The 25,563-nt window shown below is 35.5% G+C and overlaps 2 long non-coding RNA genes and 3 pseudogenes across 4 annotated transcripts, besides 1 other annotated feature; 2 read left to right on the top strand and 3 right to left on the bottom strand.

Annotated features, from left to right (window-relative positions):
- Window positions 1-2,108: 2,108 nt before the first annotated feature.
- Window positions 2,109-5,088, bottom strand: LOC124908061 (uncharacterized). Its single transcript, XR_007088688.1, has 2 exons — window positions 4,746-5,088; window positions 2,109-2,515 (listed from the first exon to the last, which is right to left on the bottom strand). It is a non-coding gene; the product is annotated as an uncharacterized LOC124908061 (long non-coding RNA).
- A 27-nt stretch (window positions 5,089-5,115) lies between these two features.
- On the bottom strand, window positions 5,116-23,470 carry LOC105373698 (uncharacterized). Of its 3 annotated transcripts, none has more exons than XR_007088687.1 (4): window positions 23,397-23,459; window positions 19,214-20,849; window positions 6,315-6,549; window positions 5,116-5,153 (listed from the first exon to the last, which is right to left on the bottom strand). It is a non-coding gene; the product is annotated as an uncharacterized LOC105373698 (long non-coding RNA). The 3 variants fall into 3 exon arrangements; XR_007088686.1 differs by having other exon boundaries at window positions 5,117-5,156; XR_923493.1 differs by lacking the exon at window positions 19,214-20,849 and having other exon boundaries at window positions 5,117-5,156; window positions 23,397-23,470.
- Window positions 17,060-17,466, bottom strand: ATP5F1AP2 (ATP synthase F1 subunit alpha pseudogene 2; annotated as a pseudogene).
- Window positions 22,274-22,934, top strand: MTND2P20 (MT-ND2 pseudogene 20; annotated as a pseudogene).
- Window positions 22,906-23,200: a silencer, noted in NCBI's record as "tiled region #11721; K562 Repressive DNase unmatched - State 24:Quies". NCBI's record gives its function as "represses a minimal TATA promoter and a strong SV40 promoter by Sharpr-MPRA in K562 cells {active_cell/tissue: K562}" and the evidence as "EXISTENCE:reporter gene assay evidence [ECO:0000049][PMID:27701403]".
- MTCO1P45 (MT-CO1 pseudogene 45) lies at window positions 23,373-23,639 on the top strand (annotated as a pseudogene).

The raw sequence follows: 25,563 nt of genomic DNA, 5'->3' as shown, positions 1-25,563 counted from the left end.
TCTGCTATCTACTAGCTCTTTTTTTGTGACCAAACTACACTAAACCTCAGTTGTTGTTTTTTTGGAATTTCAGATAAATATATCATTTATTACAGCAACATAAAAATTACTAAGAATTATTTCTAAAAAGTATGTTAAAATATGTCAAAAATAGTATTAACAATTATGTTAATGTCTAATATTTTAATTTTTAATCCCAAAATATTAATTAAATTAATTTTTATCTGATATTTATTGATGATCCATTATATTCTTCTCAACATACTAGATTTGAACACTGTGCTAAGCATTGGAGACAGTTCTAGTCAACTTAATTGAACTACTTATTTTAAAATATATTCTTGTGGTAAAAATACGTTGTTCTAATTTTATCAAGGAAGTCATTTATATTCAGCTACAAAGAGTAAGCCATTAACCCATATATTTTAAATAAACCCCTCAGATTAATTTTCTATCTCAGCAGGCATATAGGCAGGAAATTCTTAGTTGATCTTTTTCTGTCCATTAATTGCTGCTGGGAATTTGTCATCTTTCCTGACTCATAGACTCTCAAGATATTGCCTATTCCATAGTTTCCAATGGTTTTCTTCTTGCTTAAATTTTCTCTTGAGCTCCATTTTGCAACCAGATCAATTTTGCTGTCAGCAGCTTGTCCTGCCACTATAGAGAATGTCTCAAATAATGTACTTTTGCCATTAGCCCTACTTCGGTGAAAATTTAAGTTTCTTCTAACATACTTAAAATTTTTACAGTCAAATACCATGTTTACTTTGTTTACCTCTTTTCAAACTAGAATCTCCCAGTTCATGCCTGAATTAGAGTACAGATCATTAATTTTCTGAAAATAAAAGTGAAATTCTTTATTACTTTTTCATGTTAACATTGTTAATACATAGTCTATTAGTCATTTACATTAGGCTTTATTTGTTTTTTCTTATTTATTTATTGTCCCCTGCCTTATTCCAAGGAGGATTTAAATTGCTTTAGGAGTTTAGATAGTTATTTTTCAGTCTTGTCCAGAATAATAATCTTTGGGGATACCATTATTTTTCTGAAAAGTACAATTTGTGTTCCATAGAACTGACTTGAAACAGGCCTCATGTAATACATCTATTATAATATTTGGATTATAGGACTGATTTTGCATATGTATAGATACCTACTTCTTTATTTTACATATTAATAATATACCAAACAAAACTCATAGTAAAATGAAAGCAAACCTCTTCAAAATGCACTTTTGTATTTCCCACGGAGACCAATTAGTTTTATTATACCAAGACATTCCTGAAATTTATGTGAAAACATTGAAAGATGAGTTACCAGAGAGAATTCAACTCATTCCCTCTGGATTTAATTATAGGATATAACTCTAAATACAAGGCAATGTGTGTGGAAGACAAGCAAATCTCCTTGGATTTGAGTAAAAGTTAGCCATGCCACATTTCTCCTCTTTGTATTTCACCTGGAAATTGTTCATTAATTTAGAAAGTATACTTTTTTTTGACAAAGTAGATATTATATGATATCTTACTGACTATAATATTCAATAGTTTTATATGTCAAGACTGTTCCTGAAGAAATGGAATTGCAATAAAACTACAAACCAATGGTTGATTTTATAGTCAATTGCACATGTCTAAATCAACCACTGGCAATTCCATTTATCATATGCCTTAATTCTCCTCGTCACTCATTCCTAAATTGTTGTATTTTCTTAACTGAGTAACTTATACATATTAGTACCAGGTTTTGAAGACCTTTAAAGTATCAGGCTGTGTTTCTATCTAAAAATGTTAAGCTCATTGTTAAATAATACTAGGTCATTATACACAACCCTTTGCTTCCTATAGCTATTCTCTTTAATATAACATAAAATCAAAATTGTTTAAAATAACACATTGATGAACAATCATCTTGAAAAAGCATACAGATATGCTTTTTCACCAATCAACTGCAGAATAATCACAGTGAACAAAGGCATAAATATAAAAAACTGGGACAGAAATAATTTTGTCCATAAAAATCCCAATACTACATTTTCTTCCTGGTTTTATTCTTTTTCTTTCTAATTCTTAAAGACAAATTAAATTCTTAGAGACAAATTATTTTGAGTTGAAAGAAAACTCATTTATTCTCATGTTTATGTGTGCGAGGGTTAGCTGAAAATCAGCTGGACTAAATTAGACTCAAGGCTTCAGTATCTGGGCCCCAGGCTCCAGGCTCCAGGCTCCAGGAATGGATACAAGCTTATTCCATATTTGTCTCATCTTCCTTGAACCCGCACCTACAAGGCAAATGGTCTCTTCATGTTCCATTGTGAGGTTCAGACAATCTAGGATATATTCCTCTCCTGGTAAACCGTAAGATCATAATAGGATCCAAGCCATGTCTCTGCTTGTAGCAACATCATTACCTTCTATTAGCCAAAGTGAGTCACATGGCCAAGCTGAACATTACTAAAGGAAGGAATTCTATTTCACTCCCAATGAGAGGGAAAGGACAGTGAAATTATCTGAAAAATAATCCAAATTATCATTTATATACATTTATTCTGTATTATCTGCTTTCACTTTTATCTTTGTATTATAAAATGTGATTTTGCTTCAAAACTCATATTCCATTAGATGCCTTATTTCATCAAATTGATTTTTGTTGTACTGCATGACTTCAATTATTTATGTTATGATTATAAAAATATGGTAACTGTTCAATGTTATTAATTTAAAATAAATACATTTAATGAGCTTCTTTTCAAATCTTTCTGCTTTCCTATTTTTTCCTTTCATTCATGAATGAATCTGTTACATTCATTTCAAGAACCTCTTTTATGAAAGACAATGTACAATTTCATGAAAATATGCCTTGAACTGAGCCAGCTTTGGAGATTCATGTGTGACCTCATCCCAAGACTTAATTTGGCATTCTCTTACTCTAAATTAATCCTGAATCATATTTCTCAAATTAAGTGAAGGTTTACATAAATCCTGTTCAAAGCTTCTACCAAAGATGGAGCTTGTAATTAAGCAAATCAAATATTTGTAGTTCTTTGTCAGGTAATTATTATTTTGCTTTTTGTAAGTAAGAGAGACAATATATTTTGTAGAGAAAATTTCCAAGGTAAGTGGTGTTTTGTTCCAGGAAAATGTGATTTATAATGTGTAACTTTTATAGAGATTTTCCCTCTCATTTTTTAAAATTTGAGACATTAGAAGAACCATTACCTTTTGGGTCTTTCTCCCAATCTTTGATACTAGTACAATATTTTGGATGAATCTTTCCCTGGACATAGGATAGCATATGTAAGAATAGGTAAATTTTCTTATGCACCATGAAATTTGAGATTCTTGAAATGAGTTACACTTTTTTTAAGCTTCTGCTTTAACTAGAAAAATTGTTTCTCTCTTGTGTGGTACCTATTCTTGATTGATTAAGTAGTTGTCAAATATTTCGATGGCTAATAAAGTGAAACCTATAATGGTCATTGGTGATATTTATTTCAGCCACATTCTTCAGGAAAATATGAGAAGCAAGTGTGATATTCAGGAATCTGCTTACTTTGTTATCTCCTGTTAGGTAGAGATTTCCCAAACCTATTAGAGAGGGATTGTGGCTCTGTATTTTAAGGATTTTAACACCTCTCATGGCTCTAATATATTATATAGTGTTCTGGAACCAGCCCACCAAAACAGAAAAGGGATGTCCAATCCTTTCTGCTTAAATATACGAGTAAAGCAGTGGTATTAAGATGTAGCCACATAGAAAGACTTACCTTATAAATTTGAATGAAGGAGGCAATATTGATAATTATTGGAAATAGAACAATCTGTCTGGGCGCGGTGGCTCACGTCTGTAATCCCAGCACTTTGGGAGGCCTAGGCCAGCAGATCACCTGAGGTCAGGAGTTTGAGACCAGCCTGGCCAACATGGTGAAACTCCATCTCTACTAAAAATACAAAAATTAATCGGGCATGGTGGTGTACACCTGTAATCCCAGCTACTTAGGAGGCAGAGGCCGGAGAACTGCTTGAACCCGGGAGGTGGAGGTTTCAGTGAACCAAGATTGTGCCATTGCATTCCAGCCTGGGCGACAGAGCAAGACTCCGTCTCAAAAATAAATAAATAAAAGAGATAGAAAAATCTAGTGTCCCAGTGCAAAACAGATTCAGTTATATAATATGAGGATTAGGAAGAATGTCATTTTTCATAACTATGAAATCTATGTTGGTCATACCTTTCACCTGTTACCACAGTTTCTCTCTCTTACATAAAAATATGTATATTATTTGTCTATTGTACTCATCAGGTGCTAAACGAGACAAAATCATAAAAGAGCCATCCGCATACTGATGTTGATATTTGCTACTTCCAGTTTCTAAAATTCCCAATTTATGTAAATCTTTGCACTCCCACTGATCTCCTGCAATTTTGCTTAGGAGTCACTTCTTTCATGCTGCTTTCCTAATGATTATAAACTACTGAGAGCATCAGTTTAAATTATGTGTCATTTCTGTGAAATACACATACTTCTATTGCTACAAAAATTATATTACCAAGAAGGCCAAATATAAGCTTCCACCAGTTGTCCTCCCCACAGGAATATGAAATGTAACAACTACCTACACAAGAAAGCACCTTCATAAGAACCAAAAATCAGGTGAGCAATCACCTGGTTTTAATTTGATATCACTGAAAGAGACACTGTAAAGAGTAGGAGAGATAGTCTTGAATTGCTGACACCATACCTTTTCCATTCCTTAGCAGGAACTGCATGATATGGAGAATCTGTATGCTTGGGGGAGGAGAAGTGCAGTGATTATGGGACTTTGCATTGGAATTCACTGCTGCCCTGTCACAGTGGAAAACAACACTTTGCAGAACTCAGCTGATGACCACAGAGGGAGCATTTAGAACCTCTAGCCAAAGAGAAATTGTCCGTCTCCTTGTTTGGAACTTGAGTTTCAGCAAGCCTCACCGCCGTAGGCTAAGGTGCTCTGGCATTCCAATTAAACTTGCAAGGCAGGCTGGGCGCAGTGGCTGGCAGGGCGCAGTAGCTTGTGCCTGTAATTCCAGCACTTTGGGAGGCCAAGGCGGGTGGATCACTTGAGGTCAGGAGTTTGAGACCAGCATGCCAACACGGTGAAACCCCATTTCTACTAAAAACACACACAAAAAAATTAGCTAGACAAGGTGGCCTGTGCCTGTAATCCCAGCTACTAGGGAGGCTGAGACAGCAGAATTGCTTGAACCTGGGAGGCAGAGGTTGCAGTGAGCCAAGATTGTGCCACTGCAGTCCAGTGACTCCATCTCAAAAAAGAAAAAAAGAAAGAAAGGCAGTCTAGGCCACAAGAACTGCAACTCCTAGACAAGTCCTAGTGCTGTGTGGGGCTCAGAGCCAGTGGATGTGGGGAACAAGTAACCTAGTGAGACACCAGTTGGGAGTGACCAAAGGCGTACTTTTGTGCCACCCCTCTCCCAACTCCTGGCAGTACAGCTCATAGCTCCAAAAGAGATTCCTTGCATCTGCTTGAGAAAAGGAGAAGGAAGAGTAAATGGATTTTTGTCTTGCAACTTGGATACCAGCTCAGCCACAGTAGAATGAGGCACTGGACTGAGTCCCAAAGCACCCATTTCAGGCCCTAGCTCCTAGACATTTATAGACATACCGTGGACAAGAAGAAAACCCACTACCTTGAAGGGAAAGACCACATTCTGACAGAATTTATCCCTTACTGACTAAAGAGCCCTTGGGCCCTGAATAATCAGCAGCATTAGTCAGTTAGTACATGCCATGGGCCTTAGGTGACACTCTGAGAGGTGCTTACTTCAGGTGTCACTCATCATATTCACAGCTGTGGTGGCTATGGGGAGGCACTGCTTCTGCTTGAGAAAAGCAGAGAGAAGAGTAAAGTGACTTTGTCTGGCAGCTGCAATGGGGCAGAATACCAAGTGGTCTCTTAGGGTCACCAGTGCCAAGCACTGGCTCTTGGATGACATTTCTGGACCTTTCCTGGACAAGAGGGCAAGCTTACTGCCCTGAAGGGTAAACCTAGGCCTGGTAACGTTCACCACAAGCTGACTGAAGGGACCTTGGGCCTTGATTGAACATTGGTGGTAGCCTGGCAGTATTCCCTGTGGAACTGTGGTGGCAGTGGCCGTGGAGTGAGGATCCTCTGCTTGTGGAAAGGGGAAAAAAGAGTGGGAATAACTTTGTCTTTTGGTGTGTCAGCTCAACCACAGTAGAATAGAGTACCAGGTAAATTCCTAAGGTCTGGACTCCAGGCATGGCTTCTGGATGGCTTCCCTGGACCTACCTGGGCTGGGGGGAAACTTTCCACCCTAAAGGGAAAGAGAAAAGCCTTGTTGGCTTTGCCATCTGCTGACTGTAGAGCGCTGAGGTTTGAACAAACATAGATGTTGGCCAAGCAATGGTTATAATGGGCTCTGGATGAGACTCAGGGCTGTGCTCGCTTCAGATCTGACACAGTGCAGTCCCAGTTGTGGTGGCCACAGCAGTCCTTTTATTGCCCCTCCCATAGCTCCAGGCAGCTCAGCAAAGAGAAAAAGACATCATTAGTTTGGGGGAATGTAAGAGAAGGGAACAAGAATTCTCTGATAATCTAGAGAATTCTTCTGGGTCTTATAAAAGACTACCAAGGCAGTACCTCTGAGTCTGCAAGAGCCAAGCATTACTGGGCTAAAGGTGCCCTGTAGTGCAGATACAGTTGGAGTGACTGAAGTTACCACTTCACCCAAATCCCTTTAAATACCTGGAAAGCCTTCCCAAGAAGGATGGGTACAAATCAGCCCAGACAATGAAGACTACAAAAATTCCTGACTCTTCAATGCCCAGACACTGACAAATATCCAAAAGCATCAAGGCCATCTAGGAAAACATGATCTCACCAAATAAGCTAAATAAAGCACCAGGGACCAATTCTGGAAAGATAGATCTTTCAGACAGAGAATTAAAAATAGCTGTTTTGAGGGAACTCAATGAAATTCAAGATAACATACAGAAGGAATTCATAATCCAATCATACGAATTTAACAAAGCAATTGAAATAGTTAAAAAGAATCAAGCAGAGATTCTGGAGCTGAAAATGCAACTGGCACACTGACGAATGCATCAGCATCTCAGCTGCAGAACTGATCAAGCAGAAGAAAGAATTGGTGACTTTGAAGATATGCTCTTTGAAAATACACAGACAGAAGAGGGGAAAAAAGAATAAAACAGAATGAAACATGTCTACAAGTTCTAGAAAATGTCTCAAAAGAGAAAATCTAAGAGTTACTAACCTTAAAGAGGAGGTAGACAGAGACATAGAAGCAGAAAGTTCATGCAAAGAGATAATAAAATAGAATTTCCAAAACCTAGAGCAAGATATCAATATTCAAGTATAAGAAGGTTATAGAACATAAAGAAAATTTAACCCAAAGGTATTTAATAATCAAACTCCCAAAGGTTGAGGACAAAAAAAAAGATCCTAAAAGCAGCAAGATAGAAGAAATGAATAACATGCAAAGGAACTCCAACACATCTGGCAGCAGACTTCAGTAGAAACCTTACAGGCCAGGAGAGGGTGGCATGACATATTTAAAATGATGAAGGAAAAAAATATTTTACCGTAGAATAGCATATTCAATGAAAATATTCTTCAAAAAAGAAGGAAAAATAAAAAATTTCTCAGACAAACAAAAGCTGAGAGACTTCATCAACACCACATCAGACCTACTAGAAATGCTAAAAGGAGTTTTTCCATCTGAAACAACAGAATGTTAATAAGCAATAATAAATCATCTGAAGGTCCAAAACTTACAGGTAATAGTAGGTAAGCAAAAAATCACAGAATATTATCACAGAATATTATAACACTGTAATTGTGATGTGTAAACTACTCACATCCTGGGTAGAAAAACTGAAAGATGAACCAATTGAAAATAAAAACTACAACTTCTCAAGACATAAACAGTACAAGGAGATATAAATACAAAGGACAACATCTTAAAAAGTGAATAGACAAAGTGTAGAGTTGTTATTCATTTTCTCTTGTTTGTTTGTGTGTGCAGTTAGTGTAAAATCATCATCAGATTAAAATAATGAATATTATTTGCAAGTATCATGGTAATCTCAAATTAAAAAAATACAGAGGATACACAAAAAATAAAAAGCAAGAAACTAAATAACATAACCAGAGAAAATCACCTTCACTAAAAGGAAGACAGGAAGAAAGAAAAACAAAAAAGGAAGACAAGACCAGAAAACAATCAGAATACAAATAACAAAAATGGCAGGAGTAAGTCCTTACTTATCAATAATAATATTGACTGTAAATGGACTAAACTACCCATTCAAAAGACAGAGTAGCTGAATGGATTAAAAAAAAAAACCAAATAGGAACAAGACACACATACACTGATAATAAAGTGATGAAAAAGGTATTCCATGCCAATGGAAACCAAAAAAGAAAAAGTGTAGCTATATTTGTATCACTAATAGATTTCAAGACAAAAACTATGAAAAGAGACAGAGAAGGTCATTATATAATGATAAAGGGCTCAAGTGATCTAGAAGATATGAAAATTTTAAATACATATGCACACAATACTAGAGCACCCAGATATATAAAGAAAATATTACTAGAGCTAAATAGAGAGATAGACTTCAATAAAATAATAGCTGGAGGCTGTAACACCTCACTTACAGCAGTGGACAGATCTTTCAGACAAAAAAATCAACAAAGAGACTTCAGGCTTATTCTGCAGTCTAGACTAAGTGAACATAATAGATATTTACAAAACATTTTATCCAACAGATGCAGAATATGCATGATGTTTTCTCAGCCCATGAATCATTTCTCAAGGATAGACCATATATTAGGTCACAAAACAAGTCTTAAAACATTCAAAGAAGTTGAAATAATATTAAGCATGTTCTCTGACCATGATAGAATAAAACTATAAATCAATGACAAGAGGAATTTTGGAAAGTATACAAATACATGGAAATTAAGCAATAAGCTCCTGAATGACTAACAGGTGAATGAATCAATTAAGAAAAAAATTTAAAAATGTATTGAAACAAATAAAAATGGAAACACAGCATACCAAAACTTATAGGATACAGCAAAAGCAATAGTAAGATGGAAATTTGTAGCTATATGTGCTTACATAAGAAAAGTAGAAAAACTTCAAATAAACAACCTAATGATGCATCTTAAATAGCTAGAAAAGCAAGAGCAAACCAAGTTCAAAATTAGTAGAAGAAAGGAAATAATTAAAATATAGCAGAAATAAATGAAATTGAAAAAAAGAAAACAATGCAAAAGATCAGTATAACCCAAAGCAGCTTTTTTGAAAAGATAAACAAAATTGGCAAACCTTTATCCAAACTAAGAAAAAAAAACAGGCTGGGCGTGGTGGCTCATGCCTGTAACCCCAGCACTTTGGGAAGCTGAGGCAGGCAGATCACCTGAGGTTGGGAGTTCGAGACCAGCCTGACCAACATGGAGAAACCCCGTCTCTACTAAAAATACAAAATTAGTTGGGCGTGGTGGCACATGCCTGTAATCCCAGCTACTCAGGAGGCTGAGGCAGGAGAATCGCTTGAACCCAGGAGGCGGAGGTTGCAGTGAGCTGAGATCGCGCCATTGCACTCCAGCCTTGGCAACAAGAGTGAAATTCCGTCTCAAACAAACAAACAAAACAGAGAAGCCTCAAATAGAGATGAGAAAGAACACATTACATCCAATACCACAGAAATTTAATAGATCATTAGAGGCTACTTTGAGCAACTATATGCCAATAAATTGGAATACCATGGAATGGACAAATTCCTAGATACATACAAGCTACCAAGATTGAAACATGAAGAAATACGGACCTGCACAGAGCAATAAGGAATAACAATTGACACCATATAAAAAATCGCCTAGCAAAGAGAAGCCCATGAAACAAAGGCTTCACTGCTGAATTTTACCAAACATTTAAGAAATAACTAATATCAATCATACTTAAACTATTAAAAAAATAGAGAAACAGAGAATACTTCCAAACTCATTCTACAAGGCCAGTATTTCTCTGATACCAAAATCAGACAGTCTTTAAAAAAGTAGGCCAAATATACCTGATGAACATTGATGCAAACATTTTCTACAAAATATGAGCAAACAAAATTTAACTATACATTAAAAAGATCTTTCATCATGATCAAGTGGGATTTATCCCAGACATACAAGGATGGTTCAACATATGTAAATCAATCAATATGATTCAACATGTCAACAGAATGAAGGAAAAAGCATATGATTATTTCAACTGATGCTGAGAAAGCATTTGATAAAATTGTACTTCCATTCATGATGAAACCCTCAAAAACTGGATATAGAAGGAACATACCTCAAAATAATAAAAACCACCAATGACAGACCCACAGCCAGTATCATCCTGAGTGGAGGAAAACTAACAGCCTTTTCTCTAAGATCTGAAACATGACAAAGATGCCCACTTTTGCAACTGTTATTCAACATACTACTGGAATTCTAGCTATAGCAATCAGACAAGAGAAATAAATGAAGAACATCCAAATTGGAAGGGAAGAAGCCAATTTTTTTGTGTGCAGATGGTATGATCTTATATTTAAAAAAAACCCTAAAGATTACATACAAAAACTATTGGAAGTGATAAACTCAGTAAAGTTGCAATATACAAAATCAACATACAAAAATCAGTAGCATTTCTATATGCCAACAGTGAGCAATCTGAAAAAGAAACCAATAATGTAATCTCATTTACAATAGCTACAAATAAAATTAAATATTTAGGAATGAAATTATTCAAAGAAGTGAAAGATCTCTACAATGAAAACTATAAAACTCTGATGAAATAAATTGGCAAGGACACCAGAAAATGAAAAAATACTCGATGTTCATAGATTGGAAGAATCAATATTATTAAAATGTCCATACTACCCAAAGCAATCTGCTGATTCAATGAAATCCCTATCAAAATGCCAGTGATATTCTTTACAAAAATAGAAAAAAAACCTGTAAAATTTGTATGGAAACACAAAAGACCCAGAATAGCCAAACATACCTTGAGCAAAAATAGCAACACTGGAAGAATCACATTACCTAACTTCAAATTGTGCTACAGAGCTATATTAATGAAAACAGCATGGTAGTGGCATAAAAACAGACACATAAACTGATGGAGCAGAATAGAGAACCCAGAAACAAATCCATGCATCTATAGTGAACTCATTTTTGACAAAATGCCAAGGCCATACATTGGGGAAAGGACAGTCTCTTCAACAAATAGTGAGGAGGAAACTGGATATCCATGTGTAGAAGAATGCAACTAGACCCCTATCTCTTGCCATATACAAAAATCAAATCAAAATGGATTAAAAACATAAATCTAAGACCTCAAACTATGCAATCACTGAAAGAAAATACTGAAGAAAGTCTCCACGACATTGGACTGTGCAAAAATATCTTGAGCAATTCCCCACAAGCACAGACAACCAAAACAAAAAGTGGACAAATGGGATCATATCAAGTTAAAAAGCTTCTTCACAGCAAAGAAAACCATCAACAAAGTGAAGAGACAACCCACAGAATGGGAGAAAATATTTGTAATCTACTCATCTGTCAAGGGATTAACAACTGGAACATATAAGGAGCCCAAACAATTATATAGAAAAACGATCTAATAATCTGATTTAAAAATGGGCAAAAGATCTGAATAGACATATCTCAAAGGAGGACAAATAGTTAACAGGTATATAAAAAGGTGCTCAACATTATTGATCATCAGAGACATGAAAAGCAAAACTACAATAAGATATCATCTCACCTCAATTAAAATGTTTTTTATCCAAAAGCAATAACAGATGTTGTCGAGCATATGGATAAAAAGGAACCCTCATACACTACTGGGGGGAATGTAAACTAGTACAACCACTGTGCAGAACAACACGGAAGTTCCTCAAAAAACTAAAAATATAACTACTATATGACCCAACAATCCCACTGCTAGGTATAAACCCAAAAGAAAGGAAATTAAGATATTGAAGAGATATCTACAGTCCCATGTTAATTGCAGCACTATTCACAATAGCCAATATTTGGAAGCAAGCTGTGACCATCAACAGATAAATGGATAAAGAAAATGTGTACACATACACAATGGAGTACCATAAAAAATGCGATTCTGGTATCTGCGACAACATGGATGGAACTAGAGTTCATTGTGTTAAGTGAAATAAGCCAGGCACAGAAAGACAAACTTTGCATGTTCTGACTTATTTATGGGAACTAAAAATTAAAATAATTGAACTCATGGAGATAGAGAGTAGAAGGGTGGTTACCAGCAGCTGGGAGGGGTTGCATAGTGAAGAATGTGGGGATGGTTAATGCATGCCAAAAATGGAAAGAATGAATACAATCTAATATTTTTGATAGCATGGCAGGGTGACTATTGTCAATAATAATTTAATTATACATTTTAAAGTGACTAAAAGAGTATAATTGGATTGTTTGTAACACAAAGGATAAAGGATTGAGGTGATGTATAGCCCATTTACTCTCATATGATTGTTGTGCATTGCATGGCTATATCAAAGTATCTCATGTATTTCATAAATATATACACCTACCATGTACCCACAAAAATAAAAAATAAGAATTTAAGAAAGTAACTCTACAATATCAGCCTGTTTTGACTGTATGTAAAGAGATACCATAAAAAAAGAGCAGATTACATTACATTTTTTTATTTGTGTGTAAGTGCAGTTCAGTTCACTTTGCATTTATTTTTCCTAGCTCTGGTACTGTGCTTGGTAAATGTCAGTTACTAAATATATACCTGTTGAATGAAAATGATTTAATCTAAAAAATGGGGAAGCTTGAAAAGTTTTATTTTCAATCTTGAGTTTATTAATATTTTCATCCTACTCATAATTGCTTTTCCCTTACCCTGGGCATTGTTCAAGATCTGTTATAATGGAAAGGTAGGAAGAAATGCCATTTAAATAAAAACTAAGAAAAAATAGATGTGTATATCTTGGCTACCTATGAAGGATATAGATATTTCTTGTGTGTAATTGGAATTTTAATTTTCAAAAATCTAAAGCAGAGAAATGGAGGTATGGGACAGCTCACTGTAGCTGAATTACAAGTAAGGACGAATGAAGAATTGCCTTTTGAATAGCACACAAGTAATAATAGCTAAGGTGCTAGGGTAAACAAGGTGGGGGAGGTGTCCTGAAGATGAAAGTATTAGAAACTACAAAGAGTTAGCTATTCAGAGGAATGCAGAGATACAGCAATGTAGCATTAAGTAGCTTATATTGATTCATTTTTAAAGAACTTCTGCACGGCAAAAGAAACTATCATCAGAGTGAACAGACAACTTACAGAATGGGGAAAAAATTTGCAATCTATCCATCTGGCAAAGTCTAATATACATAGTCTACCAGGAACTTAAACAAATTTACAAGAAAAAAAAACCCATGAAAAAGTGAGCAAAGGACATGTACAGACACTACTCCAAAGAAGACAGTCATGCAGCCAACAAACATACGAAAAAAAGTACAACATCACTAATCATTACAGAAATGCAAATCAAAACCACAATGTGATACCACCTTTCCCCAGTCAGAGTGGTGATTATTAAAAAGTCAAAAAACAACAGATGCTGGTGAGGGTGCGGAGAAAAAGGAAGAGTTTTACACTGTTGGTGGGAATGTAAATTAGTTCAACCATTGTGGAAGACAGTGTGGTGATTCCTCAAAGATCTAGAAGAAGAAATACCATATGACCTAGCAACCCCATTACTGGGTATATACCCAAAGAAATATAAATCATTTTATTTTAAAGATACATGCACGTGTATGTTCATTGTAGCACTATTCACAATAACCAAGACATGGAATCAACCCAAATGCCCATCAACAATAGACTGGATAAAGAAAATGTTGTACATATATCCCATGGAATACTATGCAACCATAAAAAGGAATGAGGTCATGTCCTTTGCAGGGACATGGATGAAGCTGGAAGCCATCATCCTCAGCAAACTAACACAGGAACAGAAAACCAAACACCACATGTTCTCACTCATAAGTGGGAGCTGAACAATGAGAACATACAGACACATGGTGGGGAGCAACACATACTGGGGCCTGTCGGGGGTAAGGGGAAAGGAAGGCATAAGGAAGAATGCTAATGGATGCTGGGCTTAATATCTAGGTGATGGGTTGATAGGTGCAGCAAACCACCATGGCACACATTTACCTATGTAACAAACCTGTACAACCTGCACATGTAACCTGGATCTTAAAATAAAAGTTGGAAATTAAAAAAGTACAAAAAAAGAAGTAAAATTTTTAATCATTGTTGACTTTATATTTGTAGAGATTGAGGAAAGTTTGAGTTTTAGGAGGAGGCTCAGGCTTCAGGCATTGACATTTGAGGAAGTGGAGATAACATTCACATAGTCATGGATCATGGGCCACATAGACCATCTTATCTTTCTATAATATTGTTTGCTTTCTCATGCCTGCTGGCAAAAATTGATGGAATCATTTTGGAACTATCAAGTGTTACAGCTTTTGGATGCATGTACTTGGATATATTTAATAGAAAATCAGAAACACAGGAGTGGAAATACAAAATGCTCTTGTACATTGACATGTTTGTGGGTCACCAGTTCCTAGGATATATTAAAAACAAAAGGGTATAAAGAAGACTAGGAATTATCATATCGTAAAATGGAGCATAGAAGAAATAGCTTATAAAGGAGAATAAAATCAAGTGACCAGAATAGTAGAAAAAGATACAGAAAAAGTTGATATTAAATCATCAGCATCAAATTAGGCCACAGAGTATAAAGGAATTAAAAATGGCTATTAATAATCAGAAGATTGTGAATGATTGTAGCAAAAGTGATTTCAGTAAAATTGTAATAGAAATCAGATTTCAGTGGTTGTAGAAACTAGTAGAAGAAAAAATAGAAATAAGAAGAATGATGGTAAAACCATTAGAAATTATTGATGCTGCCCTACTAGATGAAACGGTTTAGGACACTGGTCTGGGAAGTGGCTTTTTGGCAAAGACCTTAAAAACTTCTAGTAGTTTTACAGTTTTGGATCTTACATTTATGTCTTTAGTCCATTTTAGTTGATTTTTTTAAGTGGCGAGAGATAGTTTCATTCTTCTGCATATGGATATCCAATTTTCTCAGCACCATTTATTGAAGAAACTGTTCTTCCCCAGTGTGCGTTCTTGGCACTCGTGTCAAAGACCAGTTGGATATACATGGCATTAATTCTGGGCTCTTTATTTTGTTTCATTTTGTTCTATTTTTAGTCTGTTTTTACATCAATACCAGGCTGTTATAGATACTATAGTGTTTTAGTATATTTTGAAGTCAGGTAGAGTGGTACCTCCTGCTTTGTTCTTTTTGCTCAAAATTACTTTGGGTATATGGGGTCTTTTATGGTTCTATATGAATTTTAGGATAACTTTTCCTATTTTTGTTAAGAGTTTCATTGGTATTTTGATAGGTATTCCACTGAATTTATAGATAACTTTGGGTAGTAAGAACATTTTAACAATATTATTTTTTTTCAATCCATGACACAAAATATTTTTCTACTTATTTATTTCACAGATTTTTTTGTAGTTTTCATTGTAGAGATCTTTTATCTTCTCAGTTAAATTAATTCCTAGGTATTTTATATTTTTGGCCACTATTGTAAATAGGGTTGCTTTCTTATTTCTTTTTCATTATCAGCATGTACAAATGGTATTGATTTTTGTATGTTAATTTTGTATCCTGCAATTTTACTGAATTCATTAGTTCTAACTTTTTTTTGGTATAGTCTATAGGATTTTCTATATATAAGGTCATGTCACCTGCAAACAGGAACAATTTAATTTTCTTCTTTCTCATTTGGATGTCCCTTATTTCTTTCTCTTGCCTAATTCTGTGGCTAGGACTCTTAGTGCTATGTTCAATAAAAGTAATCAAAGTGGGCATTCTTGTCTTATTCCATATTTTAGAGTAAAAGCTTTCCACTTGCCTCTTTAGTATGACACTAACTGTGTTTTTCTTATATAAGGCCTTTATTGTGTTGAGGGACATTCCTTTTATATTTAATTTGTTGAGAATTTTATGATGAAGGAATATTGGACTTTATCACAGGCTTTTTTGCATTTATTGATACAATCATGTGGTTTTTGTCCTGCATTCTGTTAACGTAACATTTAATGGTTTGCATATTTTGAACTATCCTCGCATCCCTGGGATTAATCCCACTTGAACATAATGAATAATCTTTTTTGTGTGCTTTTGGATCCTGTTTGCTACTCTTTTGTTGAGAATTTTTGCATCTGTGTTCGTCGAGAATATTGACTTGTAGTTTCGCCTTTTTTACTATGTCTTTGTCTGGTTTTGGTATTAAGGTAATAGTGACCTTGTAGAATGAGTTTAGAAGTATTCCTTCTTCTTCAATTTTTTTGAAGAGGTTGAGTATAATTGGTATTAGTTATTCTATACAGGTTTGGTAGAATTTAGCAGTGAAGTCATTATGTCCTGTGTTTTTTTTTTTTTTACTTGATGGGAGATTTTCTATTACTGATTCAATACAATTATTCATCATTAGTCTGTTAAGGTTTTCTATTTCATTATAATTTGGTCTTGGGAGGTTGGATGTGTTCAGTGATTTGTTCAGTTCTTCTGAATTTTCCAATTTGTTGGTGTATATTTGTTCATAATAGTCTCTTATAATCCTTTATATTTCTGTGGTATTAGTTGAAATGTCTTATTTTTTTATCTCTGATTTTAATACTCGAGTAGTCTCTCTTTTTTTCTTAGTCTAGCTTCCAGCTAAAGTTTTCTTTTTTCTTTTAGAAAATGAATTATTTATTTCATTAATCTATTGTATTTTTTTCTTTTTTTTGTTCATTTCTGCTTTGATATGTATTATATTCTTCCTCTACTAATGTTGGGCTTGGTTTCATTGATCTTAATTTTCTAGTTTTTTTTTTTTTGCCATTATGGAACCTTTACTTTTCATGTGACTTCTGTACATAACGAATATGAGAGTAACCCTTTTACAAATGGAACTAATTTGCTAGAACAATGACAAAACTGAACTGGTATTTGATGTGAATCCACAGGAGTTTAAGCTTCAAATCCAGCCAAGAAGTTTGTTAACAATCTCTTTCAGCTTTGCATCTGGTTCTTCTGAGATCTTTCCATCAGCCCTGATAGTGCCCAACAGGGCCTGGTGCTGGCTGACAACACGAGACAAGAAAGCATTCTCAAACTTTGTAACCTTGCTGGGCTCCAATTTATCAAGATACCTCCTTACACCCACATAGATAACAGCCACTTGTTCTTCAATAGCCATGGGAGAATACTGTCCTTGCTTCAGCAACTCAGTTAGACGCACACCACTCTTGAAGTACAATATTAGTTTGTTTGTTTGAGCTCTTTTACTTTTTTATTTTTATTTTTTATTTTTGAGATGGAGTCTCGCTCTGTCACCCAGGTTGGAATCCAGAGGCCTGATCTCGACTCACTGCAAACTCTGCCTCCCAGGTTCAAGCGATTCTCCTGCCTCAGCCTCCCAAATAGCTGGGATTACAGGCACCCACCACCATGCCAAGGTAATTTTTGTATTTTTAGTAGAGACGGTGTTTCATGATGTTGCCACCCTGGACTCAAACTCCTGACCTCAAGTGATCCTCCCACCTTGGCCTCTCAGAATGCTGGGATTACAGGCCTGAGCCACCGCACCTGGCCTCTTCTTGCTTTTTGATGTAAGAGTTCACTGTTATGAACTTTCCTTTAGAGATGCTTTTGCTGTAATCCCATAGATTTTGGTATGCTGTGTTTCCACTTCAGTTTGTCTCAAGAAATGTTAAAATTTTGAGACATTGGTTGTTTGGGAGCATGTTGTTTACTTTCAGTGTATTTGTACAGTTTCTGGATTTGTAGTTTTATTCCATTGTGATCAGAAAAAAATTTTAATTTAATTTTGCATTTTAAAAATTCATTGAAACTTGTTCTGTGATCTAACATATGGTCTATCCTGGAGACTGTTTTATCTTCTGTAAGAAGAATGTATATTCTGCAGATGTTAGATGGAATGTTCTGTAAATGTCTGTTAGGTTCATTTGGTCTAGGGTAGAGTTTAACTCTGGGGATTCTTTGTTGATTTTCTGTCAGGATGATACATCCATTGCTGAAAGTGGGATGTTAAAGTCTGCTACTATTACTGTATTGAGGTTTATCTCTGTGTAGGTTATTAATATTTGCTTTATATGTTTAGGTGCTTCAGTGTTTTATGCATGTTTACTTAAAATTATTATATATGCTTATCATTACATAATGACATTCTCTGTCTTTTGTACTACTTTTGACTTAAAGTCTGTTTTATAGGATATAAATATAGCTACTCTTCCCCTTTTTTGGTTTCAGTTTACACATAATATCTTATCACATTCATGCAATTTATGTGTGTCTAGGTGAAGTGACCTTCTTATAGGAAGCATGTAACTGGGTCTTATTTTTTTAATCCATTCAGCCATTCTATGTTCCTTAATTATAGAATTTAATTCATTTATATTCAAATAATTGTTATGGGTAAGGACTTAATCCTGCTGGTTTTGTTTTTTCTTATTTTCTAGTTGTTCTGTAGATTGTTTTTTTTCCCCCTGTCTGTCATCCTTTCTGGTTAAATGGTTTTTTCTAATAGTGTGTTTTGATTGCTGTTTTTTAATTTTAGTGTATTTGTTATTTTTTTGCTTTGTGCATACCATAAAGTTTACCAAAACATCTTATAGTTATAACAAGTTACTATAAATTGATAACAATTTAACTTTAATTGTAAGGCTAGGAATAACCAACACACACACACACACACAGACACACACACAAACACACAAAAACACCTGTCCTCTTTAATTGCATTGACTCTCCACATTTTGAATTTTGGATATTACATTTTACATCTCTTTATAATGCCTATCTCTTAATAAGTTAGGGTCGTTATTATCATTTTTAATAATTTTGTCTTTTAGTCATCAAACTAAAGATATAATTATATAATTGCTTACATAACACTAAAATAGTATTAGAATAAGTATTAAAGTAAGTCTAATTTTGTCTATATACTTAGTTTTGCCAGTGAATTTTTTACCTTCAAATGTTTTTCTGTAACAGGTTAGTGTGCATTTCTTTCAGTTTGAAGACCTCCTTCGTTATTTCTTGTATGACATGTCTAGTAGTAATGAATTACTTCAACTTTGGTTGTCTGGGAAAATATTTATCTTTTCTTCATTTCTGAAGGATAGCTCTGTTGGGTACAGAATTCTTGGTTGAAGCTTCTTTCCCCTTCTTCATCATTCTGAATGATTCCTCCTGGCTGGCAAGTTTTCTGCTGAGAAGTCAGCTGCCAGATGTATTGGAGCTACATTATATGTTTTTTACCTCTTTTCTCTCAGAAGATTTTGGGACCCTCTCTTTGTCTTTGATCTTTAAGCGTTTGATTATGTCTCAAGGTAGTCTTATTTGGGTTAAATCTGATTACTGACCTTTGATTTTCCTGACCTGGATATTTATACATTTCTCTAGGTTTGGAAAGCTTTCTAATATTTCTTGAAATAATAATTCTACTCTTTTGTCTTTCTTAGCTCCACCTTGAAATCCAATAACACAGATATTTGCTTTTATGATGTGGCACCATAGATTTCATAAGCTTTTTCTCTTCTTTTTTATCCTTTTTTCTTTCTTCTCTGTGTATTTTCAAATATTTTGTCTTTGAGCCCACTGATTCTTTCTTTTGTTTGAACAATTCTGCTGTTGATGCTCTTTATTGCATTATTTATTTAGTCATTGTATTTTTCACTCCAGGATTTCTGTTAAATTTAAAAAAATTATTTCAATATCTCTGATAAATTTCTCTGATAATCTTGAATAATTTCTCTGTATTTCCTTGATACTCACTGAACTTCTTTAAAACAGCTATTTTGAATTCTTTGTTTGCAAGATCACATATCTTCATACCTTTAAGGTCAGTCTCTGACTCCTTATTCTGTATGTTTGGTGAGGTCACATTTCTCTGAAAGTTCTTTATGCTTATGGACATGCAATATGTTCTCCACATGGAGGGATTCCATATTTTAATATTCATATTCTGGCTTTGTTTGTGTCTGACCTTCTTCGGTGGGTCTTCCAGAGGTTCTAAGCAGACTGTTATGTTCCATGAGCCCACGGACACTGCAGCTGTCTCAGCACTGGAGGGTGCTCTAAGCCCATGTGTATTGTGAATCTTGCTAGGGCTCCGAGATTGGCATGGTTCTTCCATCTGGGTTTTATCACCTGGGGAAGAACAAGGAGGGTACCTAGGCTGGCCAGGACCCTTGCCTGTAAGCCTGTCCCAGGGCCCAAACTGGAGTGTCTCCCAGGATTACTCTGCACAGTTGGGACTGCAGAGAGAGTACCCTGAGCCAGGACTGGACCACCAAGATGTGCTGTGGGATGAAAGCTAGTGAGTGTGCCCAGATGGCCTACATGGATGTGCCTTCTAGTAGTTCCTTGCAGGGGCAGAGAGGTTTCCCAACTGCAGAAAGAAGGGCTAGAGCTGAGACTGTCCCCCTCAGGATCTGCTGTTACATAGAGGCTGTTCAGCCCCAGCACATCTCATTGGTTCAGATGGGTGCTTGTTTCTCAGCAGGTCACTTCACAGGTGGAATAGATTCTGCAACTGCAGTGAGAAGGGCCGAAACTGAGACTGGGTCTCCTGAGGATCAGCTGTGGTGCAGAGGCTGACAACCCTGTTTTGTTATATAATTCAAGCAGAAAGATGTTAGGTTGAGGTCATCTGTCAGGGTAGATATGGTGGTATATGTTTGCTATTTAAAGTATTCTATAATTGTGATAGATTAACTCTGGGACTGAAAGTTTCAACTGACTTTCAAGGAGAGGAAGTCACACTAGGAAGGATAATCTTAATTGGAGAGTACAGAGCTTAGAATAAGGAAAAGCAGGTAGAGGTTTTTGTGGTAAATTTAAGAATTAAGTAATATAGATCTGAGTGTGGTAGTAGTAGAAATTAAAGAAGGTTATTCAGAGATTGAAAGGAAAAAGAAAAGTTCTGAGAACGATTCTGATAGGGTGCATGAAGAAGAGAAAAACTAAATGACTCTAAGCAATCGAGACTGAATGGGTAGATGACAAGGAGTCAGATTTTTAAATTATTGTTATTTTAGGGTGGAAATAACAATTTTATTTTAACCATTTAAATTTTATGATAAAAAAGATGTTACGTAAAAATGTTCAGAAGAAAACCATATCAAAGAGAAATACTTCACAGACAGAACTGATTGCATGACATTTTTCTTACCAGCAAATTTTACCACTAATTAGTGAACATAGATAAGGGGACGAGCATTTCTTGTCACAAAAATGAAAACGTCAAGGCTCAAGGTACTTTAATTAGTTCAGTGTAATTCTGCATAGTCAATATAATTATTCATAGCAATGTTGTGGCCTTTGATGTTTAATTCTTACTATTTGGGGAAACTACATCTTTATTCAGCAGTCATTTCTCTTTGGGCTTTATAGCTAGTTTTCAGGATCCCATCACTTACTAAACAATCTCTAGATTCTCCAATCAAGACTTTTCGTGGAAATTTTTCACTTGTGTGCCTTCAAACAGACATCCATAATCTGCTGATTTAAAACTGTCTCCATATTTAACTTGCATATAAAATGTTTAAAGACAATGTAACAGCAATCTGTTACGTATAATGTGAAGGTGATTAGAAATATGTAGATGAAACATCAGGGCAAGAAAGGAATATTTAAAATTTAGCCACAAAGGAATAATTACAATAAAAATAAAGGTAGGAATATGATGCTGATAATAAAAATAAAAACAAATTATTTACTATAATTATTTCCATTTTGTAATTGAGGAAGCTGGAGTGTAAGGAGTGGGTTGAGATGCTCACATAAGTTTTTAAAGGCAATCTGCTTCTGCATCTTAAATTCTTCACTGTCTCTGTAACACAGTATCTGACGGCACAAAGTAGCAGTGTTCAGACCTATGTTAGAGTCTCTCCAGATGCAAGTAAAAGGACACTTGATTAATGGTGCTATAAACAACAGCAGCCTATGTTCCTCATGTTTTAGAAATTATAGAGATAATTGGTCCCATGGACGGGCCCAAGTCTTTTATAAACTTCCACTCTACCACCCTCTGTGTGTTGGCCTACTCCTCACATGACAAAAACTAGCCCCTACTTCAATTATATATCAAATCTCCTGATTAGTAAACATAAATATTCTCCTTACCCTTTCAATTTTATCTATCATGGCAGGCAGCTGAGGTGCACTTAATGAAACACAACTACGTAAAATCCTAGCATACTCCTCAATCACTCATACAGGCTGAATAATGGCAGTGCTAATATACAACCCAAATATTACCATTTTTAACCTGGCCATATATATTACTCTAACAACTACCGCATTCCTAGTACTCAACCTAAACTCAAGCACTACAGCGCTATTACTATCTCGCATCTGAAACAAATTAACCTGACTAACACCCATGATCCCATCTATTCTACTATCACTAGGAGGCCCTCCCCCATTAACTGGCTTTCTACCCAAATGAATTATCATGAAGAGTTTACAAAAAATAATAACCTTACCATTCCTACTGCTATAGCTATTATAACCTCCTTAACCTATACTTTTACATACGCCTAATCTACTCTGCTTCAATTACACTATTCCCCATGTACAACAATGTAAAAATAAAGTGACAATTTGAAAACACAAAACCCATACTACTCCTCCCCCCACTAACCATCCTCGCCACCTTCCTCCTACCAATCTCCCCACTTTATCTATCTCCTAGAAACTTAGGTTAAACAAGACAAAGAGCCTTCAAAGCCCTCAGTAAGTAAATAATACTTAATTTCTGCAATACCTAAGGACTGCAAAACCCTACTCTGCATCAACTGAACGCAAATCAGCCACTTTAATTAAGCTAAACCCTTACTAGATTAACGGGACTTAAACCCACAAAAATTTAGTTAACAGCTAAATACCCTAATCAAGTGGCTTCAATCTACTTCTCCGCCGCGGGGAGAAAAAGGTGGGAGAAGCCCCCGCAGGATTGAAGTTGCTCCTTTGAATTTGCAATTCAACATGATAATCACCTCAGGGCTGGTAAAAAGAGGTTTAGCCTCTGTCTTTAGATTTACAGTCTAATGCCTTACTCAGCCATTTTACGCCCCCCCGCCCCCCACCTATATTCACCAACCGCTGATTGTTCTCAACTAATTCACAAAGATATGGGAACATTATACCTGTTGTTCGGTGCCTGAGCTGGGGTCCTAGGCACAGCTTTAAGCCTCCTTATGCGGGCTGAACTAGGTCAACCCGGCAACCTTCTAGGTAATGATCATATCTATAATGTTATCGTCACGGCCCACGCATTCGTCATAATATTTTTCATAGTAATACCCATCATAATTGGAGGCTTTGGCAATTGACTGGTCCCCCTAATAATTGGTGCCCCCGACATAGCATTTCCCCTCATAAATAATATCATCTCTCCCTGTGGTCATAGAACATTGCTATCATGGGTCCAATTGTACACAGTATTGTACCAAATCAGAATGAAAGAAGTTAGGGACCTCTCTTTGCTTCTCCTCACCTTTCTTCTGTCTTCTTTTCTGTTTTTTTTTTCCTTCTTTCCTCTCCTCTTATAATTCTTCTCCTCTCCTTCCTCCTCTTTATCTCTCTGTCGCTCTCTCTCTCTCACACACACAGACACAAACACATGATAATGGAAAACTTTTGACTCCCAGAAAATCGTTCTCTTATATTTTTATATTTCCGCTTATAAATTGCCTTCTAATATGTGGACAAATGATGGGAGGTTAGTAAGTTAACTAAGATGAAGTGGGTATTAGTTGTTAGATAGCAAACCTTTATTATCTCCCTCGTCGTTTTTAGTTTCCAAAGGGAAAAGTATTTACTTGAAAATGTGATCAAGAACACAACACTTTAGATCCATAATGCCAGGTGTTAAATCCCAGTACCAAAGCTTATATAGGAGTAACTTTGGAAAATTTAGCTAAATGCTCTGTTCTTCAGTCCTTTATTCTGTGGATTTGAATAATACTGACACATCTAGTAAATAGGTCTAAATAAAGCAGCTAGCGCTATTACATGTTAGTTTTATCTGTTATCATTACTATTATTATTCAAATATAAGTCACATGAAATATTTTAACTGCATATTCTACATGCATTTTCTTGCTTTTTCAGTTAAGATCAACTTTAGATGAAATCTACCACTGAATCTTGTGTTTATTGCCACCTGATATTTTACTCAAGTTATACATATAGACTTAAAATTGTTAAGAGTTTGTCAAGGTATGGAGATAGATCAGAGAAGAGAACTAAGAATGGAATTCCCACATCTTGAGTCTGGGAAAAAGTAGACAACAGATGGATAACAAAATTTCCAAAGGTAGATTGTTTCAGTGCTAGAAAAGCCAGAGAAAAGAATTTGAAAAATCAGATGCACTGAAGTGGTTAAAGAAGTAAAGGTTTAGAATAGACCACTGCATTGTACTTTGCAAGTTTGTTTGTGACCCTCTAGAGAACATTGATTTATTAGGGATATAAACAAATTGGAAGTTAGCTAATTAAAAGTGGATTGGGAACTAAGTGAGAGAAAGTCATTCCTGACAAAATCTTCATGCACAGCAGTGCTTCCAGGGGTCGGGATTGATGGGAGGGTAGGATGTACAGAAGATATGATTCAGCTTTCATAAAAAAGTGTGGTGGCAAAAGGAACTAGTCAGATGCCATGGTCCTAGTCAGAAGACACGAGTCAGAGATTGACCAGTTCCTAAGAGTGACTAGGCAGTGTGACTTTTCACACTGTAAACAAGACTTAAGACTGATTGGAACATAAATTGTTGTAACTTGAATGATCCAATCTTAGCAAGTGTTGAAACTCATGGCTCATCTCTGTTGGATTAGATACTAGTTCTGAGGTTGGAGGAAGACAATCATGATTGTTACCACGATATCATATCTAGAAAACTTAACCAGGCTTATTGGGTTTAGGGTTCCTAATACTCTGTGGCATAATTGGATCAGAAACTACCATGGACCTAAAACTATAGAAAATCATCATCTGTAATCTTAACTTAAAGAAACTGAAAAATGAAAGACAGTGCAAAAGGAGGTGGACTTCTTTTCTCACATACACAAGACAGATTATTTTATATTTAGAATGAAATGTATGTGTCTTCTGGTTGATGACTGAGTAAAATAGATATGGTGAGTAGGTTTGTGATTGACATGAATGCTAATCTTACACTAAGTAAGTTGCATTACATTACAACGGAAAAACATGAAAGGTCATGTTTGATGAAAATCAGCTTTGGAAGGACCCACAGTTCATGAATAACAACCTTCAATAAAGGGAAATGTAAATCACAGAAATGTTACCAA

This window comes from Homo sapiens, chromosome 2 (genome assembly GCF_000001405.40).
Source record: "Homo sapiens chromosome 2, GRCh38.p14 Primary Assembly".
In the NCBI taxonomy this organism is placed as follows: Eukaryota; Metazoa; Chordata; class Mammalia; order Primates; family Hominidae; genus Homo; species Homo sapiens.
Note: the sequence above shows the minus strand (reverse complement) of the source record. Positions and strands in the feature narration are given on the sequence as shown.